This window comes from Homo sapiens, chromosome 8 (genome assembly GCF_000001405.40).
Source record: "Homo sapiens chromosome 8, GRCh38.p14 Primary Assembly".
NCBI lineage: Eukaryota > Metazoa > Chordata > Mammalia > Primates > Hominidae > Homo > Homo sapiens.
The window spans coordinates 92,434,995-92,456,121 of NC_000008.11; the positions used below are offsets into that span (position 1 = coordinate 92,434,995).

At 37.6% G+C, this 21,127-nt stretch overlaps 1 long non-coding RNA gene across 1 annotated transcript; it reads right to left on the minus strand.

Annotated features, from left to right (window-relative positions):
* Nucleotides 1-9,506: 9,506 nt before the first annotated feature.
* LOC124901977 (uncharacterized) lies at nt 9,507-20,726 on the minus strand. Its single transcript, XR_007061006.1, has 3 exons — nt 19,578-20,726; nt 13,993-14,222; nt 9,507-9,605 (listed from the first exon to the last, which is right to left on the minus strand). It is a non-coding gene; the product is annotated as an uncharacterized LOC124901977 (long non-coding RNA).
* Nucleotides 20,727-21,127: the final 401 nt, after the last annotated feature.

Genomic DNA, 21,127 nt, shown 5'->3' on the forward strand with positions numbered 1-21,127 from the left:
GGTTACTTAGTAATGCCATGTTTTCTGCCACAAAGGCAACTGTGTAATAGAGGGAGTGTTTGATTTTCTTTCCCCCACTTTTAGTTTATTTAAGTGTGAATGTCCATAACAAAACCCTGGAATTAGGGATAATAGCAAGCAAAACAAGGAATATCAAGCTTCTTAAGCCAGAAAAATGGCTTTTGCTATAACCTGAACCACTTCACAGCACACGTCCTACAATGTCACATCTTCCCCTGGCAAGGATCTGGCTTCCTACTAGATTCTTCTTTATAGACCACCATCTTACACATTTTCAAGAAGGTATGTTCATCCTCTTTTACAGGTAAAGGAATAACAGTGCAGGGAGGTTTGTTGATTCTCATACATTGAATATTTAATGAGTGAATAAAAGTATTAGGTACCCTGCCCTGGTTTCTCTGCCTCCTAAGCAATAACCAATTAAACAGAACACAGTGAAGTAGAGACTTGGCCATTCTTACAGATTTTTTTCTATTTTTTCTTACAGTTTTTCTTAGTATACTCAAGCAATTTAGACAATTCAAGATTATAATAATTAAAGTATAAAATATTACTTTAAAAAATAGTTCTCACATATTTGATCTTCATAAAAACTCTGTGAAATGGAAAGGGCAAGGATTGAGCTTCATTTTTTTTTTTTTGTAATTTAGAATAATAAGTCTCAGAATGTATAAGTGATTTGTCCAAATCAATCTTTGACCTGAATTATCTATTTCGATTATGAACAGGGAGTAAATTTTCTGAGTAATTTCTAATTTTCCACCATGAAGGCATAACAAATAGGTCATTTTAATACCCTTTATTAACAATTCATTGTTCTATATTTTAATGACCTTTTCCTTTGAATTTTTTATTTAATTCTGTTATCTACATCTTTATTCACTAAAGTCAAGGATTAAGCATAATAATCATTTTGAACTCCTCATTTTTTAAATTAAAAAATTATAAAACCATAGAATTTAAGACTTGGAAAAGACCTTTGAAAAAACCCATCCCAGTGTTCCTTTTTACAATTAAAGAAACTAAGGTTTGGAAGAGTGAAGTGACTTTTCATAGGTCATGGCTAATTTATGCAGACTGGGATCTAGGACTCATGTTTTCTGGCTTTTTATCTCACCCCCATGTGCACACTGTTTTCTTAACTATTGTCTGTCACAGTGTAGGGCCTCTAATGTTTATTGAATAAATAAACAGTATCAGCGCTGACTTTGTTTCCATGATAAGCCACTTGCAGGCAGGGATTATGCTTTATTAACTTTGTATTTTCTACAATGCCTAGGACAGATTTTAAGCTCAAATCAAATACCCTAAAAGATTGGTTGAATTTGGTTTGAAAACAAGAATGACAGCAGCATACATGTGGTGTACAGTAGTAAGCCATTTTCTCTCTTCCTTCCCTCGAGAAATTTGCATTTTAATGGATGCTCTCCCCATAAGTACTTTCAGTTGTTACAAAATAGTAACAACTAAGGTTTGTATGTCTTCTTCGAAAGTGCTTTCCTGTACATGCTTTTATTTGATTCTGTCACAACCACATGTGTTCCCTTTATATGTGAAGGGAGTACATTTTAGAGAAGTTAATGGATTTGTTCAAAGCTATACAGGGAAGACATGTAAAGCCAGAAATTTGAACTTAGGCTTTATGCTCCAGAAGTCATGTTCTTTTTAGGTCCTGTCTGAACCAAGGGATCACCTAGAAGATCACCCATTAGGACAATGAACGAAGAAACAAGAAGTCATGTGCAAAAAATTGCTTATCAAACATATTCTATAACCTTAGATAACCTTCGATGTTCCTAATTTGTTCTCAAAAAAATCCCGTTTAAGACAATCCCGGGAGGAAGAAAAAGGGTATAGAATAAACAGACACTTTTGTTGTTCTTTTTCTGTGTAATATATACCGCTCTTTGTTCCTAAACACTCCAGTACAATATGGGAATCCTAAGTCTCCTTAAGCACCCAGACATCGCAAACTATGTCGTTATTGAATATAGATATTCAATTCAATTTTAAACGGGAGATAATATATTATGTAGGTATTAGATTCCAGCCAGATACTTTTTTTTTAACAAAATAAAAATATGGGAATACTAGTTCGCAGTTTATATGTTGCAGGAATATTCCTTTCATTTCTTCCAGAGAATAAATAGGTGTACATCCGTGTTCCATCTACTATGTCATTATCACTTTATTTGCAGTATATAATAAAACCCAAGGAGACATCTCTTTTGTTCACAGTGTGACTCTCTGCAAAAGAGAGAAAGTATCTGTTGGCCAGTCAGATATTCCAGTGGAGAAGGGCTGTCATTAAAATCTTGCATACTATCAAGTGGGAAAGCAGACTTATATTGCAATTACTTTCCTATTAGCTGCTGCCCATTGCTCCTGACAGGTATAAATTAGATCTCGCTAGGTTGCCTACAGATTAATGAGTTCCAAAATTGGCATTCAATTGTTTGGGAGTGAAAGGGAGAGAAGGGAGGTAGATGCAAAATCTTTATACACCTGTGATTAGAAGATATTTTCTTTCATTTCATATTTTTCTTCCTTCCTCAGTATCGCTTGGGTGATAACTGACACTACTATCTGAGGATTCCTTTCCACACAGCAGAAACTTGCAGCTGAGGCGAGGCCAGAATTAATAATTTGCGTGAGCAAACACACAGCTGCTGTTTGTGGAGAGAGATTCTATTAACGAACAGTGAATTCTCATAATTAGCCAAGCGGTTTCTGCAGCTGCCCGCCTGACCCCCAGACTACACAAATTGTGGGTGGTGTTCGGCCTCGAAATCAATCTTACCTAATTACTATAAGCATGTTCCTCCATTCCTAATGACTGCAAAAAATTAGACATTTCTTACTCATTCAAATGCTCTTCTTATTAGATTTTCCTTTGTACCTAAATTTATATTTGTCTATTAGCATTTCTAAGAGTGTACAGGTGTAGTTACAAATCAGACACAGAGGAGTATAATTCATGTTCCTGCAAGCATGCACCCGCAAATGTCTGCTCTGCAAGCAGGAGCAAGATCTGTGCTCCCTGAAAGCATCATTTCCCAAATAGCATTAGAGAACACACTGTGGGTCAGCCGTTATTCAAAGCCCAGCTTCTCTTGTAGCCTTAGGTCCCTTTTCACTCATCTGCCATCCTTTTTCTCTTCCCCCATCTAACTCCCCAAAACTCCATTTAATTAAAAAAGAAGACATTGTGTATGCCACAGTAAGCCCTGACCTCATGGGAGCCAGGTTTCTGTTAGTCGTTCTGTCACCTTGAAATCAAACCAACTTGTTTGGCATTGATTTGCCTGTCGAGGGTGTGGCCAAGTATCCCAATCTCAATCTTGTCCACCCACATTGCACCAATTTGTAAGACATGCCTAACATTAGTTTGTACAGGCAACTCACTACATTTTCCCTGCAGAGGCAATTTTTTGAACAAAGTCTCCTTGCTGCCTGGAACATACTGCTAGCTTATAGTCCACAATAAGTAGGCACTGGGATTTGTGTTTGCTGCTACAATATGAGCATGTGCCCATATCCTAGATATACTTCAGCTATAGTCAGTACTTTTTTTATTGAACATTACAGGATATGAGTGCTTATGGTGAAGTAAGATTATTACATTCAAGCGGTGTGGTCTACAGTTTGGGGCATGAACTCAAGTTTACATTTCGAAAATGAGGCTTGGGTTTTTCCTCCATGAACATTATCATTAAGGTCTGAGATGAAGTCAGAGTGAGCACCACTGAAACTATAGCATCCCTTTGATCAAGCATCAGCCCATTCAGTATTGACTTAGTTGTCTTTCTCATCCATTCCTTTCCCTTCTCTCCTTCTTTCCTTCCTTGCTGTCTTCTTTTACTCAGTGCCTATTATCTGCCAAATGCTATGCTGGGTCCTAGGTAGATAGTAATGAACAGAATCAATGTGCTTTCTCACCTCAGGGTGCTTCCACTTGGGAGGGAGACACAGACAATAAATATGTAAATAAATACATATGTATATAATTTCTAATTGCAAGGCAGCACAGTGTTGTCTAAAGAGTGTCATTTCTGGAATCAGATTTTGTGGGTTCAGATCCTAGCTCTGAAATTTATATGCTGTTTGTGGACAAATTATTAAAACTTTTCATGCCTCAGTTTCTTCATTTTCATCACAGGGATAATAAAGGTGTGTATACTCATATGGTTATAATGAGAATTAAATAAACTGATCTCTCCTAAAAACCTGGAACATGGTCTGGCATGCAGTAAAAACAAAATACCTTTTAACTAGTATTATAATTGTCATGAAGCAAAAAGCAAAACTTCTGTATGAAATCACAGATGCTTGCACCTATATGTCTATAGCAGCACTATTCACAATAGCAAGATATGAAATCAACCAAAGTGCCCATCAAAGGTTGACTGGATAAAGAAAATGTGGTACATATACACAATGGGTTACTATTCAGCCATACATAAGAATGAAATAGGCCGGGCGCGGTGGCTCACGCCTGTAATCCCAGCACTTTGGGAGGCCGAGGCGGGTGGATCATGAGGTCAGGAGATCGAGACCATCCTGGCTAACAAGGAGAAACCCCGTCTCTACTAAAAATACAAAAAATTAGCCGGGCGCGGTGGCGGGCGCCTGTAGTCCCAGCTACTGGGGAGGCTGAGGCAGGAGAATGGCGTGAACCCGGGAAGCGGAGCTTGCAGTGAGCCGAGATTGCACCACTGCAGTCCGCAGTCGGGCCTGGGCGACAGAGCGAGACTCCGTCTCAAAAAAAAAAAAAAAAAAAGAATGAAATAATGTTTTTCATAGCAACGTGAATGGAATTGGAGGCCATTATCTTAAGTGAAATAAGTCAGAAACAGAAACTCAGATATGGCATGTTCTCACTTACAAGTGGGAGTTAAATAATGCACACACATGGACACAGATTATGAAATAATAATCAGTGGAGATTCAGAAGAGTGAGGAGTGGAGGGGGGATCATGAGAAATTATTTAATTGGTACAATGTTTGTTATTTGGGTGATGGACACCCTAAAAGCCCTGACTTCACCACCACACAATCTATGTATGTAACAAAATTACACTTGTACTCCATAAATGTACACAAATTAAAAAAAAAAGGAAAATTAAAAAAAAAAAATAAACTAGGGAAAGCTGTTTTAAACTGCATTGGAAGAGAAATCCTTTTCCTGGAGCCAACATTAAGCAGAGACTTGAAGGTCCTCTCTTGAAGGTGGTCGAGCTGACCACACAGAGCGTGACACATTCTTCTCAGCAGTAGGAGCAGCCTATCAAAGGCCCTGGGGTAAGATCAATTTGGTGTGTTCCAGGAACTGAACGAAGTCCAGTATGGTGAGGAACCCAACGCAAAGTAGATTAGAATAGTTGAAAGATTAAATGCTCCAAAGGGTAAGAATCTGGAGTGCTTTTAAATATTCTTTTGAGAAGCCAAAGTCACAATTCCCCGGTTATTATAAACTCTATTAGAATTTCTTGGTCTAAAGATGAGAGAAAACAGAATCCTGTAGCATGGTGCTCTGAGAAAAATAGATGTACTCTGATGAAGCAGGCAGTCAAGTTTGTTTCTTCATCAATCCCCAGGCCCATTTGCCTTAACAGCAGCTCCATTTAAAAAAATAAAACTGTTTGTGTAATGAAGTCAAGAGTTGAAAACCTCATCAGAATTCAAAGGGAAAGAAGAAAAAGAATTTTGCAATTCAGACTTAGTGAACTCTGGGGGGCAGAAAATAGAACACATCCACCCCCACTGCAAGTCTTACGTTAGTGCTGACATTTGAGTTTGACTCTTCAAAGTGACCTTGACTTACCTAGGCAAAAAGGAATATAGGAAGGGCTACCTTACACATCTCAGGTAAGGAAAAAGAGTTTCATATTGCAATCAGAAGGACAAGAAATGAAGGAGCACAGGCTTCCAATTGCTTAGGTCAGAAACAATCAGGCACTAACAACTGCTGATATATAATTGTTCTGCAAGGGAAAGACCATAGCATTATAACTACTCAATGCATCTCTCCCAGCCTTGGTGGCTTGGGGGACCAGGTGAGGTTATTTCCTGTGGCTGTATGAGCAGAATAATGCAATATATTATAAAAGAGACTGAAGCTATTCATCCAAAGTAATTAATTTAGCATTAAATATATAGGCAGTATTATGTAATGTTTTAAAGTATATGAACATTCCAAAATTGCCAATTCATATTTGGTCAGACGCCAAGACTAGCTCTTTAAAGCATAATTTAATTAACTTTTCAGTAAATAGTAGTAAGATAAGGGAAATTAGTACTAACACTTCCTCTGTTGGAGGTAATCTGGGATCCAAGTTGCATCACGATCTGGCTCCCTTCTACCCACAGGGCCGGATATGAATGAGGGTGGATGGCAATCAGGGCCATGACTGGATCCTGGGACATACGTTTGAGTAGGAGACATTTAAAATGTATTTTTGGCCGGGCGTGGTGGCTCATGCCTGTAATCCCAGTGCTTTGGGAGGCTGAAGTGGGAGGATCACCTGAGGCCAGGAGTTTGAGACTAGTCTGGACTACATAGCGAGACCTCATCTTTACAAAACATAAAACATAAAAATTTCACTGGGCATGGTGGCACGTGCCTATAGTCCAGCTGCTCAGGAGGCTGAGAAGGGAGGATCACTTGAACGCCGGAGTTCAAGGCTGCAGTGAGCTATGATAACACTACCGCACTTTGGACTGCGCAACAGAGCAAGACACTGTTCAAAAAAAAATTCTATTGCTGGCTGCTATATCTGGAATTCAAAGCTAGTACCCACTGTTCCAGGGATGATCTTAAAGTGCAATTTCTGCATTTCCATTGGGATCACTTGAAAAGCACTCAGTTAAAATGCAGATTTATAGTCCCACCATTCACTGTCTGAACCATAACCTGAGGGGGGTGGAGCAGAAGGCTGGCCCAGGAATTCTCCATGATTTATAATTTTCCAAATTCAAATTTTAAACTCAAATTTTGTGTGAGTATTCCTATAGTAACTGCTATTCTGGGTAAAAATCATTGAGCCATTCAGAAACAGTTATTGGGACTTTGCCACTTCAGCCGGTGTGTTCTGTGCCAATTATGCCCGTGCCTCTAGCACCATGGACTCTCCGATGCCAGCCCCTAATACAATGCCTTGCACCAAGCAGTTCTCAGCAATTATTAGTTAAATTGAAATTGAATGCTCAAATCTGTGATTATTTGATACCCAAATTAGAAACTCGATATTTCACTGCTTCATTCATTTTATAACTTAGAAAAGAGCTGTGTAAGCCACAATGCTTTCCCACAAACTATGTGATTTGTCAACTCATTCATCCAATCCCGAGCCTGTCTTTATTTTAATTAAAGCTGATGATAACCTCAACATGTGCTGAGAGCAGGAAATAAGTAATTGTCGTAAATGTGTTTGGCTGAACACATATAAATACATCTAAATATATAGTTAATAAATGTTATCCATATTTGGTGGTTGACTCCCTTTGGATAACTGCTAGCTTGATGATTAGGAGCAGAAACATTTATGTGTTAATACTTTCCCCAATATATTAACTGCCTGTAATGAATTTTGGGAAGACAGTTCAGGGTTCCCATGTCTAAAATTGAGGCATATTGTGAACCCCTTAAGGTTTCTTCCACATAGTATTTCTTAACTATTAAGGGGAAAGAAAGAAAAACATACTGAAAGCGACGAGCTCTCTTCTCAGGAAATGCACATGTGAAATTCAGGTGACTCACATGTAGATTCTCCCTGAAGTCCATCCAGGGGGCTCAGGTTAAGACGCTTGCATTAAAATGTAACTATTCTTGGGTGCTTTTATTCATTAGCACATTATTGATCCAGTCAATCAATATTTATTAATACCTCCTTAGTACTGGGAATGCTAAACTCTGAATAGACAATAAGACATGGCCTCACGTTCCAGAAGTTTACAGTTTAGTGGTAAGGAAAGGTTATAATGTCTCAGTGAATGGAAAAGAGCTGTGGCACATAAAAGGGTAGGAGTTTGTGGGTCATTATGAATCCAGGGAGGCTTCTAGAGAAGCTAATCCATGAGGGGTATTTTGATGGATAAATAGAAGTCTTCCAGAAGGGTGGGGGAAAAGTTAGGATGAGGCAAGAAGAAAACTCCAGAGAGAGAATGGCTTTAGAGGCACAGAGCATGGTTAAGGTTATAATGAGAAAGGCAGGGGTAGCGGGGTGAGGTGTGGTAGGAGGAAGAGACCGCATTGGAGAAATTGGTGGACAAATCATTAAGAGCCTATCCACCAGGCCAAAAATTCTGGACTCTTACCTGGAAGAGTTGAGAATGCATTGGGGAAGATTTTAAGCACTAAGCAACAAATTCAGTGTTGTATTTTAAAATCTTTGTGAATTCTAGATTGAAATGAGCAAGATGAGGATTAAGGCAATTGGTTTAAGGATATTACAAACAACCCCCAGAAATGAAGACTGGAATTAAATTAGTGGGAGTGAGGCTGGAGAGATGGTGATAGATTCTAGGTAGCCTAACAATGATGAATTCATCAATCTGGATTAGTAATTAGATGTGGACTCAGAGAGTGGTATTTTAGAAGGACTCAGGTTTAAGACTTGAGTTGGGGGCAACTTGGTGGATGGGTTGATAGTGTTCACTGAGATTGGAAATGAAGAAGGAGGAGCAGGTTGGAGATGGGATGGAGAGCAATAATGGGTCTAAGATATTGGCAAGTAAGAGAAGATAGAAATAACAAGAGGGGCTAAGATAACATGCAACTTAAAAGATATGAGGACAGAAGAGGATCATAGGTGAAAACCTGGGTAATGGCTTCATTTATGGAGTGGCCTGGGGAGGAAGAACTCACAAAGAAGGAGATAAAGCCAGAGATATAAAAAGAACATCAGGTTTCATGGAAGACAATGGAGAAGTTTCAAAAGGACGGGGTGGTTAATAGTACAAATGCTTCAGCATAATGTAAGATATGGGCAAATGGGAGTCCACCCATTTTCAAAGGAGAGAGGTCATTGATAATCTTGAATAAAATGGAGAAAAGTATTCTGCCAGCTCTTCAGACACTGAGAATCAATGCAAGATGTACATCAGTGTCTGACACATAGTAAGTGCCTTTATACCTGTGTATTTCTCTAAGATATTTTAGGTCTTTGACAGTTCTTGAAGCAATTTAGTTTAATTATTTCTGAAGATTCATTATTTTATTTTGTAATATATCAAATTCATTTGATTTGATAAGCAGATGTTTTATTTTGTTATTTATTTATTTATTTATTCATTTTGAGACAAAATCTTGCTCTGTTGCCCAGGCTGGAGTTCAGTGGCGGGAACACAGCTCACTGCAGCCTCAATCTCCCAGGCTCCAGTGATCCTCCCACCTCCGCCTCCCGAGTAGGTGTGCACCACCATGTGTGGCTACTTTTTAAATTTTTTGTAGAGATGAGGTCTCTGTATGTTGCTCAGGCCTGGTTTCAAACTTCTGAGCTCAAGCGATCCTCCCACCTTGGCCTCCCGAAGTGTTGGGATTGCAGGTATGAGCCATTACTCCTGGCCAGCAGATATTTTAGAACCTAGTGTTTGGGAAAAGATTACACACTTTTTAATACACTTAAAATTCTTACTGACAGGTAAGGTGACAGTTAAAAGTTTTCTCCTGTGTGATTATTAAATTCTTATGGGAGATATGTTTTTGAAATTCTATAACTATAGTATTTTAGTTAGGGAGTATAAGAAATTATGTGGCAAATGACTTGTGAAACACCAGTTTTTTTGGTTATTAAAGAATAAGTATTTAAGATGTCTTTGGTAGAGATTAAATAAAGGATAACAGCATTTGCTTCATACATTTGATGTTTTGAACATCAAAAATTGGAGCTTCCGTCTAACTCCAAATTGGCATACAGAATGGTATCCAAGTTTGAGTTAGTTTCAAGGTTAGACAGATTTATGCCAGGGCACCAAGACCTAAGTGAACCACTACTTCAGATATAACAAAATATCCGAAGAAACAAAAACTAGAAAGCTGAATTTTAAAGTCATATTTATTTGGTTTCCCATCTATTATTATAGCATGTGTATGTGGATATGGACATCATTATTTACATATGGTAGCTGCAGCTGTTCTGGGAACTTTCCCTCTTTTCTCTCTTCTCCAGTACCTAACTTCTCACTCTCTGGAGCTGATATACCAAGGAAATACGAAGTTCTCAGAGAGAAAACTCTTAAGCTGAGGTGTGTATTACAAATAACTGGGAGAGCTTTTATTAGGTTGGTGCAAAAGTAATTGCAATTTTTGCCATAAAATAATGGCAAAATCACAATTATTTTTGCACCAACCTATTAAAAATACTGATACCTGTGCACCAATCCTAGAAATTCTGATACATTTTGTCTAGGGTAGGACTTGGGCACTGAATTTTTTTAAAAGCTTCCCAGATGGTTTTAATGTGCAATGGGATGAAGAGCCACTGTGCTAGAGGTTTCTTTCACTTGCTCCTCAAAGGGAAGAATTTACCTCCTGGTGATATCAGTTGAATTGCGATATGGGTAATGCTGCTGTTCTGTCTTCAGTTTTCATCATAGTGACAAACATACTCACTTCAGAGTTATGCAATCCTTTTCACTTTAATCTTAAAATTCTTTCAATTATAATATACAAAAGATTCAAAGATACACTATCTAGATAAATTTTACTCTTAAGAAATTAGTGCCAATTTGTCTAAAAATCTTAAGGTGATAGTTCTTGTTCAATACTGAAATCCTAGTTTATATGTATGTTTATATGTGTGTGTATGTGTATGCGGTATATATACTTATAAAAGCTATTATGGTGCAAGTTTTGTCAACATTATTTCTGCAAGAACATTGTGCTGTTTCTGCAAGAGGACTTTGGTTAGTGAATTGAACACTGATGGCCAGCATTAAGCTACTGTTTTATAGTTAAAATGAAATGTCAAGGTTTTTAAATAGTTCACTCTTGAGATAATGCTATTACAAAGGACTCAATAAGAAAAAAATGAATGACCAATGGAGATTGGCTTATGACCATTCGAAAGAAGGCTCTGGGGAACAACTACAGGCACGCCTTGTTTTATTGCACTTCTCTTTATTGAACTTCACAGATATTACATTTTTTACAAATTGAAGTTTTGTAGGAACCCTGTGTTGAACAAGTCTATCGATGCCGTTTTTCCGATAGCCGGCGCTCACCTCCTATCTCTGTCACAGTTTGGTAATTATCATAATATTTCAAAATTTTCATTATTATTATATCTGCTATGCTGATATCTGATTAGTGATTTTTGATGTTATTACTGTTTTGGGGCACCACAAACCACACCCATATAAGATGACACTTCACTGATGAATGTTGTGTGTATCCTGACTGCTCCTCTGCCCAGCCGTTTCCCTACCTTTCTCCCTTTTCTTAGCCTCCCTATTCTTTGAGGCACAACAGTATTGAAATTAGGCCAATGTGTAACTCTACGATGGCCTCTAAGTATTTGAATGAAAAAGTCACGTATCTCTCATTTTAAGTCAGGAGCTAGAAATATGTAACCTTAATGTGAGGAAGGCATGTCAAAAGCTGAGACAGGCCAAAAGGTAGGCCTCTTGCACTGAATAGCTTGCCAAGTTGAGAATACAAAGGAAAAGTTGTCGAAGGAAATTAAAAGTGCTACTCCAGTGAACACATGAATGATAAGAAGGTGAAACAGCCTGAATAGAGAAAACGTTATTGATCTAGATAGAAAATCAAACCAGCCACAGCATTCCTTTAAGCAAAAGCATAATCCAGAACATGGCCCTAACTCTCTTCAATTCTTTGAAGGCTCAGAGAGGTGAGGAAGCTTCAGAAGAAAATTCTGAAGCTAGCAGAGGTTGGTTACTGAGGATTAAGAAAATAAGTTGCCCCCTTAACGTGAAAGTGCAAGGTGATGCAGTAAGTGCTGATGGAGGGAGTTACCCAGATCTAGCTAAGATCACAGATGGAGGTAGTTACACGAATAGCCTTCTTCTAGAAGATGACATCTAGGACTTTCATAGCTACAGAAGAAAAGAAGTCAATGACTGGCTTCAAAACCTCAAAGAACAGGTTGACACTCTTGTTAGGGGCTAACGCAGCTGATGACTTGAAGTTGAAGTCAATGCTCATTTACCATTCTCAAAATTCCAGGCCCCTTAATAATTATGCTAAACTTACTCTGCCTGTGCTCTACAAATGGAGCAACTAGGCTTGGAAGACAGCATATCTGTTTACATCATAGTTTACTGAATATTTGAAACCTCCTATTGAGACCTACTGCTCAGGAAAAAAATGATTTCTTTCAAAATGTTACTGCTCATTGACAATGCACCTGGTCACCCAATAGCTCTGATGGAGATGTACAAGGAGATTAATGTTTTCATGCTTATTAACACAGCATCCATTCTGCAATTCATGGATAAAAGAGTAACTTTAATTTTCAAATTTTATTATTTAAGAAATATGCTTTGTGGCAGGGCACGGTGGCTCATGCCTGTAATCCCAGCACATTGAGAGGCTGAGGCGGGCGGATCACGAGGTCAGGAGATCGAGATCATCCTGGCTAACATGGTGAAACCCCGTCTCTACTAAAAATACAAAAAATTAGCTGGGCGTGGTGGCAGCGCCTGTAGTCTCAACTACTCGGGGATTGAGGCAGGAGAATGGCATGAACCTGGGAGGTGGAGCTGGCAGTGAGCCAACATTGTGCCACTGCACTCTAGCCTGGGCGACAGAGGGAGACTCCATCTCAAAAAAAAAAAAAAAAAAAAAAAAAGGGAAATATGTTTTGTAAGGCTATAGCTGCCATAGATAGTGATTCCTCTGATGGATCTGGGCAAAGTACATTGAAAACCTTCCGGAAAGAATTCATCATTCCAGATGCCTTAACATTGTCATTCATGGGAGGAGGCCAAAATATTAACAATAACAGGCATTTGGAAGAAGTTGATTCCAACCGTCATGGATGACTTTGAGGAGCTCAAGATGTCAGTGCAGAAAATAACTGCAGATGTGGTGGAAATGACAAGAGAATTAACAATTAGAAGCGGAGCCTGAAGATGTGACTGAATTGCTGCAAGCTCATGATAACACTTGAACAGATGAGGAGTTGCTTCTTAAAGTTGGGCAAAGAAAGTGTTATTTTTTTTTTTTTTTGAGTTGGAATCTATTCCTGATGAAGATGCTGTGAACATTGTTGAAATGACAACAAAGAATTTAGAATATTTTATAAGCTTAGTTGATAAAGCAGGGGCAAGGTTTGAGAAGACTGATTTCAACTAAGAAAGAAGTTCTGCGGGTAAAGTGCTATCAAATATCAATGCATGCTAAAGAGAAGTTTTTTTTTTTTGTTTTGTTTTTTTGTTTTTTGTAAAAGGAAGAGTCATTTGATGCAGCAAACTTCATTGTTGTCTCATTTTAAGAAATTGCCACAGCCACCCCAGCCTTCAGCAACCACCACCTTGATCAGTCAGCAGCCATCAACATCAAAGTAAGACTCTCCATCAGTGAAAAAGATTATGACTCTCTGAAGACTTAGATGATCATTACCATTTTTTAAAGAAATTTTTTTTTTGTATTTTAAAATTAAGGTATGTATATATTTTAAGACAGGGGTGTACAATCTTTTGGCTTCCCTGGGCCACGTTGGAAGAAAAGGAATTGTCTTGGGCCACACATAAAATACACTAAAACTAACTAGCTGATGAGCTAAAAAAATTACAAAATAATTTCATAATGTTTAAAGAAAGTTTATGAATTTGTGTTGGGCTGCATTCAAAGCCTTCCTGGGCCGCATGTGGCCTATGGGCCATGGGTCGGACAAGCTTGTTTTAAGACATAATGCTGTTACACATTAATAGGCTATAATATAGTGTAAACATAGCTTTTACATGGCTTTTATACATACTGGGAAACCAAAGAATTATATGACTCACTTTATTGTGATATTCACTTTATAGTTGTGGTCTGAAAATGTACCCACAGTGTCTTCAAGGTATGCTTGATTGGCTTTTGTTTGTCTGCTTGCTTATGTTTTTCCTCATCTGAGCAGAAAGAATTTTAATTATCATTCTCTTTTCCAGAGTTTTCTCATACAGTGGAACGAGCATCATCTACTTCTGGGCTGGCAAGGACAGCTTCTCCAGGCATATCAGCCATGACTTCTCTAGAAGTTAGGGGAGGAAACATTTCCTTTATCTTTATTTTTTCAGTGTTACTCAAAGCACCATACCTTTCCTGCTTCTCATACTGGAGGCTGAGTTCAACATGTTTTGGGAACCCTTTAGGGGCTGCAGTGTGAGAATGTATTGTTCACACTAAAAACATCTGTAATGCAAACAACCACTGATTAACCTAAGAGTAATTTGTTGCGTTAGATGTGGATGTTTGCTTCACAGATTTGTACACTAGGCAGACATTTGTGCATGAAAATTAGTTTTCCGTGATGTTTCATGGCCAAAAAAAAAAAAAAATTCTTCCCTGACCATGAGAAATGGATGCTGTGTTATGTGTACACAGCTTTGGGCTTCAGGGCACTGTAGGATTTCATAAGATCCGTGAAATCTTTTTTTCTTCACTCTCTCTCTCTTTATTCATGGGAAATATTATAACTTATTGGGACCTCATCTGATAGCATTTCTTTTAGTAGGGAGGGATGTTAAAATCAATGGTATTTAATGATGGAAGACATCGCCTTGGGCTAAAGCATTTTAATTATGTGGGCAGACCAACATGTATCCTTCATTTTCTTCCATCCGGATTCAAAAAAAAAAAAAAAATGAAGCAAAGCAAGATAGGGAACTTCCGCTACACATATTCCAATCTCTAAAACTTCTGGTTTCCTTTTTTCTAAATTATATAACAAGAATTCTAAAGACCTGTTTAAGCTTCCCCAAACGAGTTATGATTTGATCTCATTTTGGGGACCATTAGATGAGCAACAGGATTTTTATTAGTATAGTGACAATTTTCTTTTTTCTCTCCTTTTGTCTTCAGTATGGACATGCCTTCCTATCAACAGCATGTTTCAAGAAAAGTTTTGTGGATTTTATCTCCTGCTTATATTAAATAAGACATAATTGAAAAATATATTTTTAGATTTTATAAAATGTATCCATAATGTGATTCCAGTTGGGTTTGAAGAGAAAGCCATATAAAGAAAAACAAAGCTGAGCAATTTGAGCTATTATAGATGTCATAACTCCCCCTGGGTGAGTGAAGTGGGTTTGAATGAGCTAGCACCCATTTAAGTTCTTGGTACATGGAGCATGAATCTTTGAGACCCATGTTTGTTTACACATGAAAAAACAAAATACTATTTCAGAGGGAAAAATCACAACCATCAGAAAGCTTTTGGACATCAAATGGATCTTAAAAATCAACAATTTGATGAGTTAACTCAAAATGAATCAGAAACATATGGATTAAATCTCTCTTACCAAACACATGGGTTTAAAAGGAAAAGAGAACTTAGAAAATGTGTTTTGAGTTTCCTCAAACCCAAAATGTTTGAAAAATAATATAATTTGAAGCAATCGGTGGACTCAAAATGTGCTTGACTTCTCCCAATCTTGAGTACGCCCACTTACTGAGTCTATAGTGATAACGTTTTATTTTTCAAATGAACAACAAATACAAAGGGAAACTGAGCTACTCCTGGGTCTTCCTGCACATCTGAACAATGGGGTTGAAATTGAACAGCAAGTACTCTTTATAATTACTAGGAATTATTTTGAAAGGTCTATAGAATATAACTCAGTTTTTTCTTTAGAACACATTTTATTTTCAAACCGGAATTAGCATAAAAGGGGGAATTAAATTTTTCTAATGGTTTCACATGTTTCTTACTGTTCTGTGGACTGGAATCAACTAACTTTTAAAAGGAACCTGTGCTCAGATTGTTTGCATAAGTACTCAAGGTGATACACATACTTTTAAACATGAGGAAATGCCATACATCACGTTAAACATGAAGTTCTTGGCTTATAGCCACCTTTTTATGCCATTTTGAAAAGTATTTGGTTTCTGAATTAGTACTAAAATAACAAAATTGAAATTACATTTTGTGCTTGCTCACAGCTGATGTCTGGATTTTTATCTGTATTGAACTAAGACAGAGATTGATTTTTTTTGTCATCTTACACACTACTGAACTCATTGACCCACTGAATACTTCACACTGTTTACTTTATAATAATCACAACTACTATTGCTAGCTTTATAAGAGTCAAAGGGGAATTTTTTATTCAGATTATGTGTCTTGTTAAAAGAACCATGGGATCATCTTTACTCAAAACAAAGACAAATACTCTCATGCTTCTTTTAACAACCTTCCATTAGCTGTGGCAGAATCTATGTACTAGAATGCACTGTGAAGACACAAAGGAGACCTCAAGGTGATGTGGGCTGGGGTGTAGTGGAGAAGAGCATGGATCAAGCTCCCTTCATTCAAATCTTGGTTCCATCACTTACTAGTCTGTGATCTGCAGTGACATCCTTAACTTTTTGAAGCTTTTTTTATTCATTCGCAAAATGAGGATAATAATAATATTTATCTCATGGAGATTGTTGTATGAAATGAGATAATACATGAAGAATTCTTGGAATAGAATAGTAAATAGCTATGAAATTAAGAGATTAGCTTTTAGTATTATCAATAATGGAAAGAACCTGGGTTATAGGAATTAAATGAGCTAACACATGAGAAAACAGGTTTAAGTTCTAAATTACTATACAAAAAATAAATATTTTCCTAGAATTAACTGGAAGCATGGTCCCATGCTTGGGAGACAGAGGAGAATGAATATAAGAAAGAACAAATAACAGAGATTTCTGGTGTTATTGAACCAGTTTATGCATTCCTTCTAGACCACTTAATACAAGACATTTATCTGTAGAAAGGGTAATAGAATTCTGGTGTAAATTTTAATTGCAGCAGTGATTACCTTTAGATCCTGTGAGTTCATTATTGGCTGAACAATTCCGAAGACTCTCGTTAAATGGTCCATGGAATGAATCAGGCATAGAATTAACCTATCTTTAGTTCCCTAAAGCTTATGTCCCATGAAGGAGTACTTACATTGCTTTATGCCTATACCTTCTATACCCTTGATTCTTAAAAAAAAAAAATAGTTAAAGAGGTCAAACCCAGAATTCCAGGTGAATTGACCCTTAAGTAATTGAAAATTAAAAAAATTCCAGTGGCAGAAATTATTTTAAATGACTACCATCTTTGTCTTGCAGCTACTTTAACTGCAAGTTATTATTGGCTATGCCGTGTGGTTTGGATGCCAATTGCAAGGCAGCTGCCCTGCCCCAGCCTGGGAATTCTCTGCAGGGGATTCTTCAGGAAAAGAGGCATTTTGTGCAATGGAAGAATAAGTACTAGGTTAATAACCACTAAATATATCTTTTTCCAAAGCTCTGGTGAAATTCAAATAGTATTTTCATTGCTTAAAGTGTTGTTTTCAAAACGGAGAACTGAATTGGATTTGCTGAATTTGTGAGAATATTCCTTTGCCATATCAATTTTTTCACCATGGAAAAAGTGGGCATTACTACTTTGAAAGTGTTGTCTTGAAAACTTCTTTGTATAAATTTCTCTTTCAGAGACTTGCCATTTATGTATTCTGGAATATCTTTTATATTAATCCTTCATTGGGGTCTTCGAAAGATCATAGATTCATTGACTCTGAGGGTTTACAGGCCATCTTATCCAGCCTCTTCTCCCATGCGTGAATCTTTCACCAAACCAAATGATTTTATAATCTGCACCTCTAATATCAGAAACTTGCTATATCGCAAGGCAGCTTAGTTAATCTTCAGACAGCTTTACTTGTTAGAAAGCGCTTCTTTATGTTCAGGTGAAATTGATTCCTTTATAACACCCACCAACTAGCCTAATTATATTAATAAGTACCATACAGTTCAGACCTAATCCCCTTTCCACATTTCCAGTACCTATTCCTAACCTAGTTTGATTCACTTACTGAGCCTAATTGTGTGCTGATAGTCATTGATCATTTCAGCTCTCTTTCCATCTGGTTTGATCCTGGGATGCCCCAGTTAAGCTCTATTTTTCCTAAAGGACAATGATATTCCAGAAGTAGTGTGACCACTGCATTATATAGGACTGCATTATATTGTCAGCTTTGGACTAGCTTCTACGTGGACCATTGAAAAATAAGATTATATTAGCCTTTATTGCTAGTCTTTATTGAATTGACTCATAAAGCCAACTAAAATTACTGTTAATTTTTCTCACAGTAAAGTTACATTTCATCTCTTGCACATAATTAGGGTTGTTTACTGGATTACCTATTGACTCTTCACTTTTTGGTTTAACTGTGGTCTCAAAATACAGAAGTACTTAGTAGCTAGAGGTAAAAAATGATTTGTATCATGTATGTCTATCCCACATAGACTGACATAGTTAAGAGAGAAAGTTGTACATGTAGCCAGGTGGCTTCTCTTAATTCTCTCTACTACTTGCTAGATTAGAGAGTCCTTCCTCTATCCATGTTAATTTCATTCCAGCACAAAGCAGAGAAGCAAAGGACAGACGTGCTGCCACTAACCTCCATCTCACACATGCTCAGCATTAACCCCTCTCACAGACAGAAGAATGTGCAAAGGCTAGTGGATTCATTGATTCCAGAACTTCACTGGAACACACTGTCTTATGCCATTTACCTCATTTGTCTTTTCCCAGCCATATTTTCCCATTTTTCTATAGAATTTTCCCCCAAAGAATGAAATATAGGTCAGGTGTAGTGGTTCACGCCTGTAATCCCAACATGTTGGGAGGCCGGGACAGGAGAATCACTTGAGTCCAGGAGTTTAAAACCAGCCTGGGCGACATGGTGAAACTCCATCTCTACCAAAAAAATTAGCTGGTCATGGTGGTGTGTGCATGTAGTCCCAATTACTCAGGAGGCTGGATTGGGAGAATCACCTGAGCCCAGGAGGCAAAGATTGTAGTGAGCCAAGATTGTGTCACTGCATTCCAGCCTAAGCTACAGAGGCAACCCCATCTCAAAAAAAAAAAGAAAGAAAGAAAAAGAAAAAAAAAGAGAATGAAATGTAAAATTATGCACTTATTGCCATTAAGTTATTGTATTAGATTTCGGCCGTTATCCTACTTGTCAGATCTTTTGAAATCTTCCTTCTGTCCTTTAGTGTGTTCACTATACTTCCCAGATTTTTGTCTTTCACTAGTTTGATCTGTCTATTCAATTAGCATTGATGGTTGTACGTATCCAACATTGAGCGACACTAAAGGATTGGTTTATATTTCAAGTGCCAAGTCTGCCACCTGTTTGATGGCTTCAGAAAGAATAACAAGTTTTTTTTTTTTTAAGATAATGAGTTCAACTCATCCAATTCATATTCTTGAAACCGAAAACTTCAGGAGATGTCAACACGTGACTTTATCAGTATTTCTCGTAAGTTATTTAAGGATTTTCATGTTAAGTTAAATTGATGTAAAACAAACACACTTAAAATATCACGGATAACCTACCAGAAGTGAACAACAGTATCTCTTTCCTTCATGTGGAAGACTTGGCGAGACATCCTTTATCATATTTGTCATGGTTGTTTTCTCATAAGCATGAAGCAGGTAAAAATGAGACAACAAATTAGCACACAGTTTGAAGGACCTCATGCATGATCTCATATTAGATTGATTATATGGAGAATAAGTAAGGACCACAGTATCAACATAATTTATCTCCTTTGAGAAACAGGATCAAATAAACAGTAATGGAATTTAAAAAACTTAAAAGCTTCAGAGAATTAATTAAATTTCCCCAATATATGATGGGAGAGCTATTGAACCCAAAAAGACTCATACACCCCCTAATTGCTAATCTTCTCAAGGAATTGACTTATTGGATTCTTTCTACCAGCTGTTTAGAGGTTACAGAAAACGCACCAGGCTTTGCTGATGACCCAAGTGCCTTAATTCCTATGCATGCATATTTTAACATTATTACAGAAAGGTTTCATTTGCAATTTACAGGCTGAGTAGCAATGAGTCCGTTTCAAAGAGGTCAGTGCTTTCACCATGCCTCCTAGTGATGGAATTATGGTTTAAACAGCTGGAGCACTGTCCCAGGAGGGACACTGGGGTATGGCTCCTTAACGGCAGAATAAATCCATCAGACATATTTCATGTGTCTGATAACATTAATAGATACCAGGGCTGTTTAAATATTTAATGAACTCACTCAGAGACTGTTTACCAAGGGGAGAAAAAAAGCTATCAGAAAGGATGATCACATCCTTTTGATCTACAATGACAACAACAAAACCGAAATCTCAGCCAATGATTTCTCTTTCTTGCTGCAAACTCCATCACGGGAAACCGTTTGCTGCATGACATGTTTCATTTCCACAGTCTGCAAGAGAGTGTTTTCAGTTTTGCAGTTCAAAAGTTAATCATTTCCATGCGACTCACTACTTAATAGAGATGCCAGAAATCATAGAATAGCTTTCAGTTGGGATGGAGAAAACAGCAGAGGAAAGACAGAGACACTAGAGCAAGCTAATGGTTTGCAGTGCACACGGAGCCACAGAAGCCCTGGGTGTGTTAATGAGGAGGGCATCTGCTAGAAAGAGAGAGTAAGCAGAATGTCAGTTGTGGCTGCTGGCTACCTTTGCTGATGGTCTTTAGGAGGATTCCTTGCTACAGAATCCTTCTTTCTGGAGATGGACAGTAGTCATTAAAAGAAAAAAAATCACGTCCTGATATTTGGCATACTTTTATTCTAGTCTGAGGGCAAGATTGTTTGGATTTATGAAATTTCACTGAAAATGGTTTGGCTAGGCAGAATAAAATGGTTTTATTCTGTGGTTTCAGATGCCTGTTTGGTCATGCAAAACTGAAACAATAGTTAAGTTTCAAATGATGGGAAATAGCTGGCACTAGGTCCTTCCTGTCTGTTGGCACCAACAAACAGTCATGTTGAAAAATGGTCTATCACACACTGTCCAGAGCATGTCTTTTTCTCAATTATGTTTATTATAACTCTAATCCGGTTCTTTTCATGGGATTAAGGTGACACAGAG